At 53.0% G+C, this 19390-nt stretch overlaps 2 protein-coding genes across 4 annotated transcripts in view, besides 3 other annotated features; both read left to right on the top strand.

The window, feature by feature from the left end:
* Positions 1-230: 230 nt before the first annotated feature.
* ATG101 (autophagy related 101) lies at positions 231-12426 on the top strand. Of its 3 annotated transcripts, XM_024449120.2 has the most exons (5): positions 231-387; positions 4091-4873; positions 5285-5414; positions 8506-8833; positions 11717-12426. In XM_024449120.2, the coding sequence occupies exons 4-5, from the start codon at positions 8582-8584 to the stop codon at positions 12119-12121; spliced, it is 657 nt and encodes a 218-aa protein (XP_024304888.1). In that variant the 5' UTR covers positions 231-387; positions 4091-4873; positions 5285-5414; positions 8506-8581; the 3' UTR covers positions 12122-12426. The 3 variants fall into 3 exon arrangements, with proteins under 3 accessions (XP_024304888.1, NP_068753.2, NP_001092143.1); NM_021934.5 differs by lacking the exons at positions 231-387; positions 4091-4873 and adding an exon at positions 4909-5173; NM_001098673.2 differs by lacking the exons at positions 231-387; positions 4091-4873 and adding an exon at positions 4909-5002.
* Positions 4375-4664: an enhancer, noted in NCBI's record as "active region_6390". NCBI's record gives its function as "activates an Ori minimal core promoter by ATAC-STARR-seq in GM12878 lymphoblastoid cells {active_cell/tissue: GM12878}" and the evidence as "EXISTENCE:reporter gene assay evidence [ECO:0000049][PMID:35858748]".
* Positions 4375-5257: a biological region, named in NCBI's record as "H3K27ac hESC enhancer GRCh37_chr12:52463395-52464110".
* Positions 4542-5257: an enhancer, noted in NCBI's record as "H3K27ac hESC enhancer chr12:52463395-52464110 (GRCh37/hg19 assembly coordinates)". NCBI's record gives its function as "activates a minimal SCP1, AML or CMV promoter by ChIP-STARR-seq in primed H9 embryonic stem cells {active_cell/tissue: H9 hESC(primed)}" and the evidence as "EXISTENCE:reporter gene assay evidence [ECO:0000049][PMID:30033119]".
* A 2208-nt stretch (positions 12427-14634) lies between the features above and the next one.
* Positions 14635-19390, top strand: part of SMIM41 (small integral membrane protein 41) — a 28552-nt gene continuing 23796 nt past the window's right edge. Inside the window, exons 1-2 of the mRNA NM_001369216.1 lie at positions 14635-15112; positions 18825-18899. Of these exons, the coding sequence (NP_001356145.1) occupies positions 14711-14992 (282 nt within the window). The 5' untranslated portion in view covers positions 14635-14710 and the 3' untranslated portion in view covers positions 14993-15112; positions 18825-18899. The remainder of the gene's footprint in view (positions 15113-18824; positions 18900-19390) is intronic.

Consider the following 19390-nt stretch of genomic DNA (forward strand, 5'->3'; position numbering starts at 1 on the left):
GGTTTCACCATGTTGGCCAGGCTGGTCTCGAACTCCTGACCTCAGGTGATCCAACGCCTCGACCTCCCAAATTGCTGGGATTACAAGTGTGAGTCACCGCATCCAGCCTGAATGTGTCACTTTTTATTCCAGGTAACCAGCATCTCTCCATCCTGGCCCTCTTGGGTCCCCACAAAACCTGCTGCCATTTCTTTCATACCACTTGTTGGGTTTTCTTACCCACAGGTATCTCCTGGTCCACCTCCTCTGAAGACTCTGAGCTCCCAGAGGGCTAGAACTGTGACTTGTCCCCCTTGGCATCACAAGGTATTACAAGGGCCTGGCATGTGGACAGTTCCACGTGTGGCATGAATGAATGAATAGACGATTACGTCTTGATCATCAGAGGTAGGGGCATAGAATGAGATAATTCATCCCACACAATCCCAGTTTTTTAACCACTCCCTCCCCTCCCTGATGGGACTACCAGAGGGGCTGAGACCCAGGGTTGCAGTGAGAATTTCCCTGTAAGAATTCAGGGAGGTAGGAAGAGGCAAGTGTGGGTCAGCATGTGAGATAAAGAGGTGAGAGGACTCAGCCTTCCTTATGTTCCCCAGTCCAGTAGGCAAGGCTCCATGGAAAGGTGAGTGCCGGAGTAGGGACATAAGTGGGTGAAAACACTGGTGGAAGGAGGAAAGAGCAGCTGCATGGCCTTGGACGTGTACTAGTCAGGGTTCTCCAGAGAAACAGAAGCAGTAGGACATAGACACACATAATGTAGAGAGAGAGTTTCTCCCCCATACATATGTGGCGGCAGAAAGAGAGGGATTGATTGATTGATTGATTGAGATGGAGTTTCGCTCTTGTTGCCTAGGCTGGAGTGCAATGGCGAGATCTCAGCTCACCACAATCGCCGCCTCCCGGGTTCAAGTAATTCTCCTGCCTCAGCCTCCTGAGTAGCTGGGATTACAGGCATGCGCCACCACACCTGGCTAGTTTTGTATTTTTAGTAGAGATGGGGTTTCTCCATATTGGTCAGGCTGGTCTCGAACTCCCGACCTCAGGTGATCTGCCTGCCTTGGCCCCCCAAAGTGTTGGGATTACAGGTGTGAGCCACCACACCCGGCCGAGAGGGATTTATTATAAGGAGCTGGCTGACAAGTCCTAAGATCTGAAGTCAGGAAAGCTGATGGTGTCATTGCAGTCTTGAGACCTAGGAGAAGCAGTTATCTGAAGGCAGTTGGAACCTGAAAGCAGGAAAATACTAATGTCCCAGTTCTAAGACAGTCAGGCAGGAGTTCCCCTTACTCACTGAAGGGTCAACCTGTTGGTTCTACTAGGCTTTCAACTGATTGGATGAAGCCCCTCCACACCGGGAAGGGAAATCGGCTTCACTGTCTGCCAATTCCAATGTTAGGCTCATCAGAACACCCCACAGACAAGCCCAGAATCATACTTAACCAACTGTCTAGGTACCCTGTGTCCCAGTCAAGCTGACACGTAAAATTAAGCATCACAGGAAACCACTATGCATCACTATGTATGACTGGGCTTCAGTTATAATATCAAGTAAATCAGAGAGTGGAGTGTCGGGGAGGTGGACTGTATCTACCTTGAAAGGTAGTTGGAAAAATCAGCACAATAGGGCCTATGAGTGCTGGCATTGTACCTAGCAAGGTTCAATGATTGGTAGTAGTGATGATGATGATGATGATGATGATGTCAGGCTAGTGGTCGCAAAGGGCTGAGTTGGAGTGTGTGGATGGCCAGAGAGATCAGTCACTTCCCTTACTCACTGGCAGTCTCTGGGGATGGGCTCTGGCACCTCCTCCACTCCAGGACTGGTTCCAACCTCCCTTGGTCCCTCTCTCAGCTTCTTACAGACCCTTCCCTCTCAATATTTCCTCCTGATTGCCGTCTGGTTTTGTGCAGCCTCCCGAAGAGGTCGCTGGTGTGTAGGGCAGGCAGCTTTCTCTTTCTCCCAGGAGAGGCACCCACACCTGGGATAAGAGGCAAGGGCTGAAAAAGGGCAGAACTGTGGGGAGGAAGGGAAGAGGATAGGGAGCAGATGATGGTGGAAAGGCCAGCCTGAGGAGGAGCTTGTGCAGCCAGGTTTCGAAGAACTGAATGGGAGGGGGAAGCCTAAGGGTGAGGTGGTGACAGTGGTGTGCTGGAGCCAGCTGGCACTGGCCCTCAAGGGCTGATTTTAACCTTGACGATCAAGATGCAATCATCCATCCGTTCTGGACTCTGCATTCATTGATGTCTTGTAGTTTGAAATCACCTATGATAGGAAATGGGCAAATGCTACAAATCAAGGCATTTCCCTTACCAGAGAGCAGGTGTGAAGCATTTATCAGGACACCACTGGTGGGTGGGGGTGTATTGGAGAGTGGTGGTACATAGGAGAGAGTTGGCTGAAGAAGCCAGCCAGAAAGAGAGCTCCCATAGTGGCAAAGAGCTTTCGATTTGAACTCAAGGCTCTGTTATTTACTGAATGACCTTGGGCCACTTACTTAACCTCTCCCCAGTCACTTTCTTTTTCTTTTTTTTTTTTTGAGACGGAGTCTCGCTCTTTCACCAGGCTGGAGTGCAGTGGTGTGATCTCTGCTCACTGCAACCTCTGCCTCCCCGGTTCAAGCGATTCTCCTGACTCAGCCTCCGGAGTAGCTGGCATTACAGGTGTGTGCCACCAAGCTTGGCTATTTTTTTTTTTTTTGTATTTTTAGTAGAGACAGGGTTTCACCATGTTGGTTAGGCTGGTCTCGAACTCATGACCTCAAATGATCCACCTGCCTCGGCCTCCCAAAGTGCTGGGATTACAGGCGTGAGCCACCATGCCCGGCCCAATTTCTTATCTATATTGCAGGATTGATTAGTATCAGGTTTAAATTTATATGTACACATATATGGTATTTAAAATCATGACCTTTCCATTCCACCTAATAAATGTTATCTATTATCGTTTTGGGAAATAAAAGCATGTGTTAGAAAAATCAGCTTTTTTTTTTTTTTTGAGACAGGGTTTCTCTCCGTTGCCCAGGCTGGAGTGCCGTGGTGCAGTCTCAGCTCATTGCAACCTCCACCTCCCAGGTTCAAGCAATTCTTCTGCCTCAGCCTCCCAAGTAGCTGGGATTACAGGTGCCTGACACCACACCTGGCTTTTTTTTTTTTTTTGTATTTTTGGTAGAGATGAGGTTTCACCATATTGGCCAGGCTGGTCTCAAACTCCTGACCTCGAGTGATCCATCAGCCTCGACCTCCCAAAGTACCGGGATTACAGGCATGAGCCATCACACCCGACTTTTTTTTTTTTTTCTTTTTGAGACAGGATCTTGTTTTGTCATTCAGCCTGCAATGCAGTGGCGTGATTATAGCTCACTGCAGCTTCAACCTCCTGGGCTCAGGTGATCCTCCACCTCAGCCTCTGAAGTAGCTGGGACTACAGGGGTACACCAACACGCCCAGCTAAATTTTTAATTTTTATTTTAAAGATGGGAGTCTCACTATGTCGACCAGGCTGGTCTTGAACCCCCGGCCCCAGGTGATGCTCTGTCCTAAGCCTTCCAAAATGTTGGGATCACAGGCGTGAGGCACCCCAATGGGCCAGAAAATGAGCATGGTAATCCCCAGCTAACACCTTAAGAATGCCTCCTGGCCGGTCGCGGTGGCTCACGCCTGTAATCCCAGCACTTTGGGAGGCCGAGGCGGGCAGATCACGAGGTCAGGATATCGAGACCATCCTGGCTAACACGGTGAAAACCCGTCTCTACTAAAAAAAATACAAAAAAAATTAGCCGGGCGTGGTGGTGGGCGCCTGTAGTCCCAGCTACTCGGGAGGCTGAGGCAGGAGAATGACGTGAACCCAGGAGGCGGAGCTTGCAGTGAGCCGAGATAGCGCCACTGCACTCCAGCCTGGGCGACAGAGCGAGACGCCGTCTCAAAAAAAAAAAAAAAAAAAAAAAAAAAAAAAATACTGCCTCCTATTGGAGGTGGGTGCATTAACCGAGCTCTCGAAGCCCTGTCTGCTCTGGGCTTACAATCTACATGGAGAACCAAATGCGCTCCAGGAAGTTACACAGCACTAAAAATACACTTGTATTCATATTAGACTTTACAGGTCACAGAAATCTTTCATATGAGTTATCTCCTGTGATCCTCACAACAGCCACCTGTTTATAGAGAGCATCAGAAAGGATGAGTGATGTTGAGGGTCACGCAGAGAAGCAATGGCCGAATTACTAGCCTCCGAAGGACTGTCACCAGATTGGTCACCATGGGGTATCAAGTAGTGCTGCTGCATAAAGGCAACACTGAGAGATGAAGCCCCTTTCTCCAGCATCTGTGTGGGTGGAGGGCCAGGGATCCCGTCTGTTACGCACATTCAACAAACTCAAGTTTTGCCATCCACTGGGCGTCCTGCAGTACAGCGGTGTGGGCTCATCTCCAGGACCTCTCTCTACGGGGTACGCCCCTCATCTTGCGGTGATCAGTGTTCCTTCCAGACCTCTCAGTCCGGACTGAGTTGGGCACCGCGTCAGCGTCTCCCGGCCAGGCTCGCCGCCGATGACTCCGCTCGGCCTAGGGAGGCGGCCGAGAGCCCGTAGGGCTCCTCCTTCCCTCCAGTCTCTATGGCGGAAGTGAGTTGTACGGGCCGAAACACCACAGCGTTCTCGGTGGTGGGCTGAATGGACTCGTCCACATGAGGGGGATCTTCATCACCATCAACTCTTAAAATCCGAGACATAACCACGAAAGGAGCAGCCCCCAGATCAGAGAGCAACGCATGACTATCTGCGTGTGCTTCTGTGACTACGCGGATGTTGTGGGCGGCTACATGCGTGCGGGGGCCCGGCGAGCTGGGCAGGTGCCCCCTCCGGGGCCGTGGGATCTGGTGAGCTTCCCGGCGCGCGGGGGGCGGTGCGGCTTCCGGTCCCGGCTCAGCCTCCGACCCAGGTGGTCTGGAGCCTGCCGGGAGAGTGGTGGCATCTGAGAGGCTGGTCGTGGACTGTGGTTGGGGGAGGTGGGAGCTGTTTTAACCGTGTGCCCCCTCTCCTGTGCCGGCGTGGGCATCCCCCGGGGCAGTGGAACGCGGGCGCTCCTCCAGCTTCCGAGTCCAGCCAGCCTGGGCGCGGGGCGCCGCCCCCGAGACACCCGAGGAGTCCGTTCCTCCCTGGTTACGTGGACTGTGGAGGTTCGCGCGTAGTGGCGGCGGGGGATACGGGACCCGGGCGGGAATTCCTTCCTGCGTCCGTCCCGAGTCTCTTGATATGGAGCCAAGTAAGTTTTCTGGTTTTGCTTTTAGCTGGTCTCTTGTGGCTCAGCGCCGTGCGGAGGTTGAAGCGTACCTGCGGAGGTCGCACCAGGGCGTGAGGAGGAGGAGGAAGGGCATGAGCCGAGCTTGAGGAATCCGTGCTCCAAACTCTACACTCAAGGTGGGAATGGGCGCACCCTGTGCTCCAGCCAGGCTTGAGAAGGCGGCTGTTAGCCTCTGCCACTCGGGGGGACAAGAGGGACGAGACTTTCCAGACCCTACTCTGGTGGGCCCTGCTTGCTCACTGCTCACTGTGTGGGGCAGGGGACAACAAGGTTTTCACAGACCAAATGTGGCAGCTGTGGGAAGGAGAATGGGGTTGGTCAGGACTGACTTCTTGGAGGAGTGGATCCTAAAATAGCACGTAGAATGAGGGAGGAGCCCAGGCTTGGGGCACAAGTGAGATGTGTGGCTTGTGTGAACGATTGCGGGGGACACAAGAGGGAGAAGTCGTGGAAGAAAGGGAGCCGGACCAGAGCCGGGAGTCTCTAGATGGGAAGAAAACTGCTGGATGGAGTAAAACTGGAGGGCAAAACGAGCAAGAGAGCCCTTCTCCTTCTTGATCCAAGCATGTAGGAGAAACTAATCCAGCAACCCCTGGAAGAACCTGGAATTCCTGGGTTGGGCTCAATTGAGCAGTTGTTTTGTAGAAGGTACTAGGAATTACCATTATAGTGATGAATGGAATATAGTCTCTGCCCTATAAGCAGAATATAGGAATTGTTTGCCTAGTGGTAGAGACAAAAACAAAACGTGATGGTGCTTGATAGTACAGGTAGACGCGAGCTGATCGCCAGCTGAGAGGCAGAGCTGGCCTGATCTCTGTGCGGTCCACAGACCGTTGCCCTGTATCCTGTGCTGAGCAACAGTTTAAAAGGGGCAGACACAAACTGAAATATACTTTTTATATTCACCATCTGTCAACCAGATGAGTGAAATATACTTAGAGGAGAGCTGCTAGGATTCCATGCAGATAAGATGTGATGTGGAACAGACATGTTTTTGAGGACTGGGGACCTTCAGCCTGTAGAAGGGGTGAGGGGGTGGTGGAATAGCTGCCCCTAAATAAAAACTCACTTGTGGAAAAGAGGTGAGACTTATTTTGTGTGGCTTTGGGTACCAAAACTAAAACTAAAAGTGGTTTGAAGCACTAAGAGACAGATTCTTCAGCAGAAAGAATAACTGGACTGGGTGCGGTAATCCCAGCACTTTGGGAGGCCGAGGCGGGTGGATCTCTTGAGCTCAGGAGTTCGAGACCAGCCTGGGTAACATGGCAAAACCCTTTCTTTACCAAAAATACAAAAAATTAGCCAGGTGTGGTGGTGTTCGCCTGTGTTCCCAGCTGCTTGGGAGGCTGGGATGGGAGCCTGGGAGGCAGAAGTTGCAGTGAGTAGAGATTGTGTCACTGTATTGCAGCCTGGGTGATGGAGTGAGACCCCATTTCATAAATAAAATAAATAAATAAATCAGAATAACTGAATAGAACTTCCTGAACATTGACTGGTTGTTGTGAGAGCTAGTGAATTCCCAGTCAGGGGAGGTTTGCAAGCTGAATACTCTGAGTTATAAGGAACTTGAAGCTCCCTCTCCCTCTGGGCATGTATTTAGTTATTATGTTCTAGTTCTCAAGTCTCTTGTTCTCTCCTTCCTACTCTCTCTACCACTGCTGTGTTATAGCCTTGCATCATCTCTTGGCAGTAACAATGTAATAATGAATTATAGCAGCTAATACTTAGTGGATATTTACCATTTGTCAGGTACTTATTTAAGTGTTTTATACATGCTAGCTCATTCAGCCCTCAACCCTTTCAAGGTAGCCATTATTATCTCTTTTGTATATGTGGCAGATAGGTGTTAAGCAGCTTGCCCAAGATCATGAGCATGGAGCAAGTGGCAGAGCTGGGGTTCCATTCCAGGTTGTCTGGCTTTCAAGTCATCGTTTTCAACCACTATTCTACTGTATTTTACATGTGTTACCTTAATTCTCACTACTATCCCCATTTACAGATAAGAAGTTCAGAGAGGTTGAGTGATTCGCTTAAGGTCATAGAGCAAGATGTAGATGAGGTGGGATTCAAACCCAGGACTGTAGGACATGAAAAACCGCCCACACCTGATTATGCTGCTTCTGTAACTACATCTACTGTAGTGGTCTTTAACTGACTTCCGTGCCCAGCCTTTGTGCCTTAAATCCACAAGTTTTTACCCTGGAGTCTGTGGATGTGGGTGTCTCTAGAAATAGGTGAGATTTGGTATATGTGTGTGTGTGAGAGTCATGTTTTTAAAGCCCAGTCTTCATGGCTTCATTCACTTCTCAGAGCAGTTTGTGACCCCAATACGGTTTAGAGCCATTCTTTGCCCTTTAGCCAAAGGTACTTGTCTTTTTTTTTTTAAATTTATTTTATTACTTTGTATTTTTGTTTTTTTTGAGACAGGGTCTCGCTTTGTCACTCAGGCTGGAGCACAGTGGCATGATCTCAGCTCACTGCAGCCTCAGCCTCCCACATTTAAGTTATCCTCCTGCCTCAGCCCCTCAAGTAACTGGGACTACAGGCGCCTGCCACCAGGCCCAGCTAATTTTTTATATTTTTGGTAGAGATGGGGTTTTATCATGTTTCCCAGGCTGGTCTTGAACTTTTGAGCTCAAGTGATTTGCCTCGGCCTCCCAAGTTGCTGGGATTAATGTGAGCCACCACACCCGGCCTAGAGGTACTTTTTTGATGCACAGATTTGATCTTGGCTTAGTGATGCATTGACTCTTCGCTGCTTTTAGGACAGAGTCCAAATGCCTTAACCTGTTCATTCAAGGTCCCAGGAAATCAGACTCCAATCTTTCTGTACTTCTTACTCCCACCCTGTACTCTCTCCGTGGTGATAATGTTTAGTTGCGTGCTTTTTCTTCATCCTGTCAGCCTGAGGGCAGGGGCCGTGCTTGCCTTTGATGTCTAGTACCTGACAAATGTTGCACAGTGAGCATCTGCTGTAAACTACATTGAAGGCTGTAAAATGGAATCCCAGCCTGTCATTTGGACTGATAACTTTGAAGCTCTTGCACTTTCTGATCCTGAGACTTGATGATTCGTTGATAGTGTGTGCTGCCAAAATGCAGAGAAGGGCCAGTGGAGGCAGAGGCTGAGCTGAGCCTAGAAGGAAGTGAACAGATAACACGTGGACTATTCTTGTCAGCATTCTGACCTGGGCTCCTTTTGCAGGGTGGCCCTTGGGTAGGGTGAAGATCCCCTGTCTTTATCCTAGTTCCACACCTTGGTGTGGGTTACTGGGTGCAGGATGAACTGTCGCTCGGAGGTGCTGGAGGTGTCGGTGGAGGGGCGGCAGGTGGAGGAGGCCATGCTGGCTGTGCTGCACACGGTGCTTCTGCACCGCAGCACAGGCAAGTTCCACTACAAGAAGGAGGGCACCTACTCCATTGGCACCGTGGGCACCCAGGATGTTGACTGTGACTTCATCGACTTCACTTATGTGCGTGTCTCTTCTGAGGAACTGGATCGTGCCCTGCGCAAGGTTGTTGGGGAGTTCAAGGTAAGGGTGTCGGGGAGTTCAAGGTAAGGGTGTGGCATAGCAGATGGCAGGGGGGCCTCGAGTGCTCCTCCACTCCAGCTTGGTGTTGAACCAGCCTTCTCTTCCTGAGTGCGTGAATCGGGTTCTTTCAGGTTCTGAGAAACAGATGTGTTGAGAGCTCCTCTTCAGGGGAGGGCGCGCGGGCGCGTGTGTGTGTGGTGGGGGAGGGAGAGACTCATAAATGTGCCTGGGGGAAAAGGGAGAGCAGGAAGCTGAGCAGTGTTGGCGGCCAGGTCCCCTGGGGCCATCCTTGCTTCTGTGGTCTTGACCTCTCTGGTTACAGCTCTCTCTGCTTCTGCTTCCACTTTTCCTTTCCCACATGAAACTCCCCCAGAGGACGGCTTGCTTGGTTCAGGTGGCTGCCATCCAAGATGGGAGTGTCCCTTTTGGTGGTGTGGCATTGTGTGCCTGGGTAGGAGAAAGATGTAGAAGGGACACGGCCGGCTGCTGCTGTTGGTCACCTCAGGAGGTGGGAGTGGTAGTGTGCCTTCTCCTCTGGTCTTTGTTCAGAGTCACAGTGTTTGACCATTTCATTGAGTGCGTACTTTTACATTTTAAAGTAGCAAAGATAATTTTTCTTTCTTCCTTTTTTTTTTTTGAGACACAGTCTCACTATGTCACCCCAGTCTTGAACTCCTGGGCTCGAGCAGTCCTTCCACTGCAGCCTTCCAAGCAGCTGGGACCACAGGTGTACACCACCACCACCATGCCCGGCTAATTTTTGAAGATTTATTTTGCCAGGCCTGGTGGCTCATGCCTGTTGTCTCAGCACTTTGGGAGGCTGAGATGGCCGGATTGCTTGAGCCCAGGAGTTCAAGACCAGCCCTGGAAACATGGCGAAACTCCGTCTCTACAGAAAATACAAAAATTAGTGGGGTGTGGTGGCACATGCCTCTAGTTCCAGACGCTTGAGCAGCTGAGGTGGGAGGATTGCTTGAGCCTAGGAATTCGAGACTGCAGTGAGCCATGATCACGCTACTGTACTCCAGCATGGGTGACAGAGCAAAACCCTGTCTCCAAAAAAAAATAATTTTTTTTGTAGAGATGGGGTGTCACTGTGTTGCCCAGGCTGGTCTTGAACTAAAGGCTGGTCTTGAATTACTGGCATGAGCCTGAAGGCATCTGCTCTGGGGTTAGAACACGGGGGAGCTGTGTGTCTGACTTTCATTCCATAAATATTTGCAGAGCCCTTCACTGTGCTGGGTACTGTGTGCTCATTGCAGGGGGTTGCCCAGTGTCAGGTGAAAGCTGTCTCTCATTGTCCCGCCAAACCCAGAAAGGGCAAGTTCATAAGTGGTTTCCTAGTCACCCTTAAGAGCAGCAGCAGCACTCAGCCCTGTGTCCTCCAGGTGTCCATGAGAGGCAGGTGGAGCAGAGTGGTGAAGAGCATGGGCTTTGGAGCTGGGGTCTGCCACCCAGCAAGTGTGTGACCTTGGGCTAGCGGCTCCACTCAAAATTGCAATAATAATCTTGCTTACCTCAAAGGGTGTGTGCACTGCAAGGACTGAATAAGTCAAATATGCCCAGTGTTTGGAACAGAGCCTGGCACACAGTAAACATTACAGATGCATTAGCCATTCAAGGTTACTTGACCTTGGTTTGTCAGTGAAGGAAAGCCTCTTCCCTGATGAGTGTGGTTCAGGATTTCAGGCATCCTTACCCTCTGGGTTGGTATTAACTCAGATGGAAAGGAACTTCAGGGTCCTGGCTGCCCTAGGAAGAGGAGTATGGGGCCACTCACACCCATGGGGTGGCAAGGGCAGAATCATTGGACTGGATGGTCCTGTTTGCTTCTCAGGGGAGAAGAGGGAGAAGTGCCAGGTCTGGTCTGTCCTTCAACTTCCCTTCCCCATTCTGTTGCTTGGTTTCCCTCTTTTTGAGCAAGGACCACTGGGCTCTACAGTTCCCTCTTCCTTAGCTCATAAAAGAGACTGTGAACTGGGTGCAGTGGCTTGTGACCGTAATCCCAGCACTTTGGGAGGCTGAAGCAGGAGTATTGCTTGAGCCCAGGAATTCGAGACCAGCCTGGATAACGTAACAATACCCCGTCTCTTAACAAAATAAAAAAAATTAAAACTTAGCCAAGTGTGCCTGTAGTATCAGCTACTCAGGAGGCTAATGTGGGAGGATCGCTTGAGCCCAGGAGTCCGAGGCTGCAGTGAGCCATGATTGCTCCACTGCCCTCCAGCCTGGGTGACAGAGTAAGACCCAGTTTCTTTAAAAAATATCAAAAGAATTATGTTTAATTGGCAGTGGAGAAGACAAATAGAGTTTACAGGGGAAGAGGGAAATGTTGACGAGGTGATTAGAACATTTTGAAGGATATGGGCTAAAGGGGTGGTGTGGAAGGAGGAGGCCCTTGATGCAATGCAAAGGTGAAAAGCAAGGATTTAGAAATCAGACAATCCAGATTCAAACCCTGGTCCAGCCATCCATAGGCATGTGACTCTCGCAAGTTACCTTACTTCTCTAAGCCTCATCGTGCCTTGGTGAAAGCTGATGGGGTTGTTGGGAGGAGCCAGTGGGATTGTGTGTGTTAAGTTCCTAGCACAGAATACGTGCCTGCAGACCAGTAGTTATTCCTGTAATATCAGTTCTTCACCAAGCTGGAGGAGTTGGGCTTGGAGACAGATTTTGTTGGTTTGCTTGAACTACACAATTTCAGGCTGGCAGTTTGCTGTGTCACTAAGCCCAAATCGTTTACCCTCTCCCAGTCTTGTTTCCTTGCCATGCTTGGATGATGACTAGAGCTAAGAGAGCATAATTCCCTGGGGTGTGGGAAGCAGGCCCTCACAGGTGGGAACTCAGAGGCCTTGGCTTGCTCATTCGTTCCCTTCTTCCCAGGATGCACTGCGCAACTCTGGTGGCGATGGGCTGGGGCAGATGTCCTTGGAGTTCTACCAGAAGAAGAAGTCTCGCTGGCCATTCTCAGACGAGTGCATCCCATGGGAAGTGTGGACGGTCAAGGTGCATGTGGTAGCCCTGGCCACGGAGCAGGAGCGGCAGATCTGCCGGGAGAAGGTGGGTGAGAAACTCTGCGAGAAGATCATCAACATCGTGGAGGTGATGAATCGGCATGAGTACTTGCCCAAGATGCCCACACAGTCGGAGGTGGATAACGTGTTTGACACAGGCTTGCGGGACGTGCAGCCCTACCTGTACAAGATCTCCTTCCAGATCACTGATGCCCTGGGCACCTCAGTCACCACCACCATGCGCAGGCTCATCAAAGACACCCTTGCCCTCTGAGCGTCGCTGGATCTCTGGGAGCTCCTTGATGGCTCCCAGACCTTGGCTTTTGGGAATTGCACTTTTGGGCCTTTGGGCTCTGGAACCTGCTCTGGGTCATTGGTGAGACTTGGAAGGGGCAGCCCCCGCTGGCTTCTTGGTTTTGTGGTTGCCAGCCTCAGGTCATCCTTTTAATCTTTGCTGACGGTTCAGTCCTGCCTCTACTGTCTCTCCATAGCCCTGGTGGGGTCCCCCTTCTTTCTCCACTGTACAGAAGAGCCACCACTGGGATGGGGAATAAAGTTGAGAACATGAGTTTGGGCTGAGCCATCTCTCCCTTGTCTTGTGTCTGCCCGACGTGTTAACACTTTCTGGCATTCCTGTGAGGACACAGGTGTGTGTTGAGGGCATTGCTCCAAGATGAGGGGGGTGGGTGGGTGGGATTAAAGGTGTATGAAAATGGACAGATTTTGTACTTGGCTGGATATTCACACAAAACAGGTGTTACCCAGATGTGGCTATAGCCAGTCTCGTGAAGGAAGGTGCATTGTAGGGTGAGGGTCTGTTGCTTTTGGATGTGACTGAGCTGTTCCTCCCTTTTCCCCCCCAGCAATCGACTCCCTATTTCAACACCTCCAAACTCACTTTGCTTTTTTTTTTTTTTTGTAAACTTTTGCAGATTATTTTATCACTCAGGTATTAAGCCTAGTACCCATTAGTTATTTTTCTGATCCTCTCCCTCTTCCCATCCTCCAAAAAGCTCCAGTGTGCATTGTTCCCCGCTGTGTGTCCTTGTGTTCTCATCATGTAGCTCCCACTTATAAGTGAGAACATGTATTTGGTTTTCTGTTCCTGTGTTATCTCCACCTTTTCTAAGGAAGCTGTGACATCCCTGGCCTTTATGTTGTCTGGTCTTGCTTCACCATGGCCCCAGAGAGTATCTTCTCTGTCTTCATAGAGCACATAGATCCCCATGTGCACCAGAAAGGTCATTTGATGTGGGTCATGTCTGGAGACACATTGGCCAGCTTGAGACTATCCGGCATCTGGTGACACTTCTTCCAGCTTGGGCTGGCCCTTGCCATTGCCTCGGTAACTCACATTCATTTCTGTACCCCCATACTCAAGCCCCCATTGTGTGCTATGCTCTCATCAATACAGTCCATGTTTTACAATGCTTTTTGGCTGCTTCTGGGCCAGTTCTAACCAGACTAAATGAATTGTGTGTAGGGAGGGATGCTGAGGGAGAAATGGGGTGGGAGTGGGGGGTCTTGTCCATGGTCCTGGAGCAGGGTAGGTAGTCAGGATGACCAGGAAGTGTTTGCACTTGGAATGCGCTTTTCCCATTCCGAGTCACCCTTGGCCACGTGATGTTTCTACTCTTGATCTCTGGGGCATCAGAGAGTTGGAGGACTCAGGAGGGGGGTTTATAGTTGAAGAAGGCCAATTTCTAGCAAGTCCTTGATAGCATGTGACCCCCCACTTGGCCTGCTGCAGTCTGGGGACTCTTCCTGTTTTCCTACCAGACAGCCATCAGCTAATCTAATCCCTTCTGAGGGGACTGGTACAGGTGGTTGACTGGCAGTGACTTTATTTTTTAGAAGAGGACTCAAGGCTTGCTACAGAATTTTTTGGTAGACCTGGCAGGAGGGTCTTGCTTCTCTGTCCACTTTTCCAGTCTTTCTGCTTTTCTGCAGCTGGACTCTGCTCCACTCTCCCACCCTGGCTTGGCTGTGGGACACCTAGCTGGCAATGGGCTACCCTAGTAGATGGGACAGTAACATTCCCTTCCCTTATGGCATTGCGATTTTCTGAAGTGGGGGACTAATTTATCCAGGGTCAGGACTGCAGTCCTGGTGGATCAAATCTGTGCTCTCCCATTGGTCTGTAAATGTGACTCTCCTTGGCCTATGGGGCCTGAGAAAAGGAGTGGGGGTGGGCCTTAAATTCCCCATGCTCTGCTCTGCTCTGCTGTACCTGAATGTCTCCCTGCTGTGGAGTGTGGAGGAGGCATTGGCCTGCTTGTCCAGCCCTAGGAGGCTTCTGAAGGGGATGATGGACGAGGAAGGGTGGGACTCACTCACCCTTATGGCTGCCCGTGTGCCTCCTGGCTCAGCAGCCACCTGGGCCACCTAGCAGCATAGAACTTTGGTCTAGGGATAAAAAGCCCAAGAATGGGGACAATCACCTTTGTCTTGTGTCCTGCTCAGAGGGGCAGCACCCCAGCCTGCAGCTGGGATGGGGTCTGAGGATCTTCTCAGGGCTCTGCCCAGGTGTACCTCTTGGCCCACTTTGCGAAGGGGAGGGACTCTTGGGGACAGGGCTCCTGGTTTTGGCTGACTGGACTTGCATGGGGGTGCCTGTGGGCCTTGGGGATGAGAAGAAATACAGCAGGCCCGGAGTCCGGGCCTATGGAGAAAGGGCCGTAGCCACAACGGCTGGAGCTCTTTGTCTAGGAAGTGCCCGAGCGCTCTGCGCAAGGGGTAGGGGCGTAGGGCGCCTGGGGTCCGCCCCTTGGTTCCCTCCCCGACGCAGCCGCCGGCCCGCCCGCCAGTCTGGGCTCCTGCACATCTGGCGATCCCGCCACATCTGGGCAGCCGGCGCTGGAGCATGAACGGCTCTCAGGCGGGCGCCGCGGCTCAGGCCGCCTGGCTGAGCTCCTGCTGTAACCAGTCGGCGTCGCCGCCGGAGCCCCCCGAGGGGCCGCGCGCGGTGCAGGCGGTGGTGCTCGGCGTGCTGTCCCTGCTGGTGCTTTGCGGGGTCCTGTTCCTGGGCGGCGGCCTCCTCCTCCGCGCCCAGGGCCTGACAGCGCTGCTGACCCGCGAGCAGCGCGCGTCCCGCGAGCCCGAGCCGGGCAGTGCCAGCGGAGAGGACGGCGACGACGACTCCTAGGCGCCCGGCTGCGCTCGGTGGTCGCGGCCTCCAGGCAGCCCCTGACTCCGAGCGGTCCGGAGCATGCCCGACGGCTGCTGCGGTCCCGACCCCTTACCCGAAGCGGCGCGCCCCACACAGGTGAGAGGGAGGGTAGCAGGAGTGTGGGCGCGGGGGTTCGGGGGGCTACAGTAGCTTCCTTACTGAGGAGGCTTCTTGGGGCGCGGCAAGGCACCTGTCTTTGGAGAATGAGTCGCTCTTCAGCGACTCAGGTTCCCAGCTCTGTAAGTCCACGGCCGGTGGGGCTGCAGCCCACCCAGGTGTGCGGGATCAGGAGGAGGCCGCCCCGCCCCGGATTGTGTCTCCTGCAGCTCTGGCCCCCTCCTCCCATCTTAAGTGTTCCAGCCTTATGTTCTTTTTCTACGAACAGAGGCTGCTGTGTAACTGTGGGGTGGTTGTGGAGGCAGGAGGATGACAGAGGAGAGAGTCTGGAGGCCACAGTGTGCTTTGGGGGCTTCTTCCCTAGCCCCCACCCTCACCTCCATGGTCTGCATCTGCCCCAGCCCCTATAGGTCCTAGGCCCAACTCTGCGGGCCCCAGCACTGCCCACTCCACGGGGCTGAGGAGACAGGCAGGCGGCTCCAGCCTTTGGCCTCAGCTTCCTGAAGGCTTTTCCCTGGGAGGGTGCTTGAGGGAGATTCCTTGCCTGGCCTCCCTCTTGAGACAGGGAGGGGAGTGTGGTCATGTTTGAGGGCAGATCCAGGGGCCTGGGTGGCCCTGGGGAATGGGGAGGTGTGTGGAAGGCCCTTCCCTGGACCCTGCTCAGGTCGTGGGGAGGGGGTGGTGAAGGGTGGGGGAGTAGATGTAGCCCAGAGCAAGGAGCTTTGTGTGGTGTGTGTTGGGGGGTGTGGATGGCAGGGTTCCCCGCAGCTGGGGGGCCTCGGGAGCGCTGCTCCGGGAAGTGGGGCTGAGGATTTCCAGCTGTGGGGGCTCTGTCTGGGTGTCTCCCTCTGTCTCTCCAAGGACAGGAGCCATCTGGAGGGAAGGGCCTGGATGGCCTGAGGACAAGGTAACTACAGGCGAAAGCCACCTGGGACAGAGCCACAGGGGCTGGAGAGGCCTTCTCTGTTCCTTCCCTCTGTTCAGCTTTGTACCTAGGAGCCCTGGGGGTTTCTGTGGGTGGGAGTGTTTGTCAGGGGTGACTTTGGCCTCTCTTGCCCCCCCTCCCCCGATTCTGGAGCCCCTCCCCTGCTTATCTGGGGTAGGGCAGGGTCCCAGTTTCCATCCGAGAAAGGAGTCAGGCTGAGTGCCTGTGAGGGGCAGCGGGAGGGTGTGGGCAGGTGCAGCTAAGCAGCTGCGAAGCTAACGACAACGTGTGATCCCTGCCCAGCAGCCCAGGATTTGGCACTAATCCTGGGCAGCGGCACCACACTGGCCTTGCTGAGCCAGGGACTTCTCACCTCAGGGCCCCCTCAGCTCCCCCCACTCCACCCCCTAGGAGGGAGGGTTGTCCAGGGCCCTGAGGCGTGTGTGTAGTGTGTCTGTTACTGCACCTGGCACAGGCAGGGGGCTGGGCCCAGGGGACATTCCCCCCTCCCTTTGCTGGGGGAGAGGGTGGGAACTTCCTCTCTTGATTGTACCCGGTTTCACCCAGCTGCCTTGCCTGTCACCCTCTGGCCCCATACTCTCCTCTCCTTTCCCAGCTGGGAGAGAGGGTCTCCAGATCACTGGGAACCCCTTTCTTTTACACGCGGGAGAACAGTAAGTGACATGCTCACATGAATGACAGAGCTGGAAGCAGACCCTGGGCCCTGATTCCAAGTTCAGGCCCCCTTCTGGCACTTGGGGGCCCCTCTCACTCTGTCCTCTTCCCTTCCCTGCTTTCTCATCACTCTTTGAGATGCTGGTGCAAAACGCGGCCTCTCTTCATACATTTGCGAATCAGGGATGGACCCCCAAACCCCTGTGCCACTGCCCCCTTCCCATCCTGCTTCCCCGGGGCCCTGCCTACCTTCTTGCTGTGGGGAGCAGTCTTCCAGATGCCGGCAGCAGCTCCTCAGCCAGCTGGGCTCAGCTTTCCTGGCCTGAACCTGAGGGGGGATGGGCTTAGAGGGTCAGCTGGAATAAACATCCGTGGAAAAAAATCCAAGCGGTCAGAGCCGAGGGATCAGGGCCGAAGGCTGATGACCTTCCGTTTGGCCTTTGGGCTCAAGTTCCTGTGGTGTGAGGGTGTAGAGTGATTTGGTGCCGGGAAGGGCTGTGCCCCCAGCATCATCGTGTCTGCTCACACCCAGGACAGGGCTGGGGCGGGGGTGTAGAGGTGGGGGCAAAGGCTTTCTTCATCCAACTTCCTCCCGTTGCTGTTCCTGAGTCCAGTGCTTGGAGGGCAGGGCGTGGGGTGTGCCAGGGACCTCAGTGTTCCTGTGGGAAGGGACTGAGATGTTTGCTGTGGAATTCTGACCCTGGTCAAGGCTGTCAGGCTGAGTGGGCAGGAAAGAATGTGGAAAATTGGGAAGTGGGTGCTGCTGTTACCCCATCAGGCTCCAGCTGGGAGTGAGATGTGGGGGATGGGTGCAGGTCTGAGTGCCAGGGAGAGAAGCCAGGCACCCGAACTCCTAGCCAGCTCACTTAGCCTGCACCGTCCATAGGGGAAGGGCTGGGGCGGCTGATGGGTTCAGATCTTGCCCTAACCTTCCTCCAGCCCCTGAGATTTTCCCTAAGCTGGGAAAGCCTGTGAGAGGTTTATGGAGTCCATTCCTCAGTCTCCACATAGTGCAGCTCCCTCTGCAGCAAAGACGGGGGTGGCTCTCTCTACAGATTCCTGAGCCCCACATCGTCTGCCAGCAAGAGAGCCTGCTCTCCTGCTGCCACTCTGGGGATCCCCTGCCACCTTCAGCCCATTCTTGCTGCAGATGACAGACTGGGAGATACCTGGCTTGTGGTGAGACCTCAACCTGGGATCCTTGCACCCAGCTGCTGCCTCTGAACTGCTCCACTGGACCTCTGGAAGTGCTCGGTGTGGGCCTGGACCTGGGAGACCTGCACTCCCAGCCCGCTTGAGGCCTGCTGCATGTCCTGGGCACTGAAGTGGCCACACATCCTGGATGCCTGGTGCAGCAGGTGCTGGCTGTGCCCCCTGCCTTCTGGCCTCTGAGGACATGAGTGCAGCGCCTGTACTGTCTGGTGTGAGGCAGCAACGGTCTGACAGTGACCGGCCCCTGCTGCAAGTCAGTGCCTCTCATTTGCAGGCCTGCAGCACCCCCTCAATCCAGGAATGCTGCATCGCTTTCTGTGGCCTGTTATTAAATATGCTGGTGATGCAAGCTTCAGGTCTATGATCTGTCTCCAGCCTTTGACTCTAGGAATTAGTGGTTTGTTCCCCGACTCCCCTCCAGTTTTACCTATTTCTAGCAGATATAGCAACCCCAGCCCCTGTCCCCTGGCCTCTCCTCAGTGGTGGCTTTTCCCCTTGCACCTTCAGATCCACATCTTCCGAGGGTGGGTGTGAAGTGGGGGCAGAAAGCCACCCTCACGCCAGCACTCGGCTGCCCCCCTGTGGCCAGTGTGGGCAAGAGCACCGCTTCATTCAACCAGTCACTGTTGGGGTCTGTCTCATCAGAGTCCAGCCTGAGCCTCGGCTTTGAGATGGGAGTGGGTATCGTGAGCATGTGCATGGAATTCTAGATTGCAAAACTTTCCTAAACCTCAGTCTCTTAGTTTATAAAATGTAGGTGACAATATCATAGGTTTGTCATTGATCAAATAGGTAACATGCTTATTTATTGAAAAAAGTCTTTCTGCATAGTAATCATCCTGTGGCATCATTATTTTCCCTGAACCTGACCATTCCTAGAGAGGAGAAGAAGAGAAGAGGAGAGGAGAGAAGAGAAGAAGAGAGGAGAGAAGAGAAGAGGAGAGGAGAGAAGAGGTATAGAACCAGCCCTCTATTCCTGGGAACACTCATTTTATTCTCTTTTCCATGAGTATTTACTGAGTGACCGCTCTGTGCCAGGCATACTCTGGGACGTGGGGATGAGGAGATAAACAAGACAGGGCTGGGTGCAGTGGCTCATGCCTGTAATGCCAGCACTTTGGGAGGCCGAGGCAGGTGGATCACGAGGTCAGGAGTTTGAGACCAGCCTGGCCAACATGGTGAAACCCCGTCTCTACTAAAAATACAAAAATTAGCTGGATGTGGCGGTGCATGCCTATAATGGGGAGAATTGCTTGAATCCAGGAGGCAGAGGTTGCAGTGAGCCGCGATCGTGCCACTACACTCCAGCCTGGGTGACAAAGCAAGACTCCATCTCAAAACAACAACAACATCAACCACAAAAAAAAAAACAAACAAAAAAAAACAAACAAAAACCACAAAAAAACAAGACAGAACCCCTGCCCCTGAAGAGCTCACATTCTAGT

Source organism: Homo sapiens, chromosome 12, assembly GCF_000001405.40.
Source record: "Homo sapiens chromosome 12, GRCh38.p14 Primary Assembly".
Taxonomy (NCBI): Eukaryota; Metazoa; Chordata; class Mammalia; order Primates; family Hominidae; genus Homo; species Homo sapiens.

Bases quoted from the DNA above. Each gene is read 5' to 3' on its own strand.
- ATG101 (XM_024449120.2), top strand. From the start codon at position 8,582: ATGAACTGTCGCTCGGAGGTGCTGGAGGTGTCGGTGGAGGGGCGGCAG. The intron at 8,834-11,716 runs GTAAGGGTGTCG...CCTTCTTCCCAG, and splicing joins AGGTTGTTGGGGAGTTCAAG to GATGCACTGCGCAACTCTGG.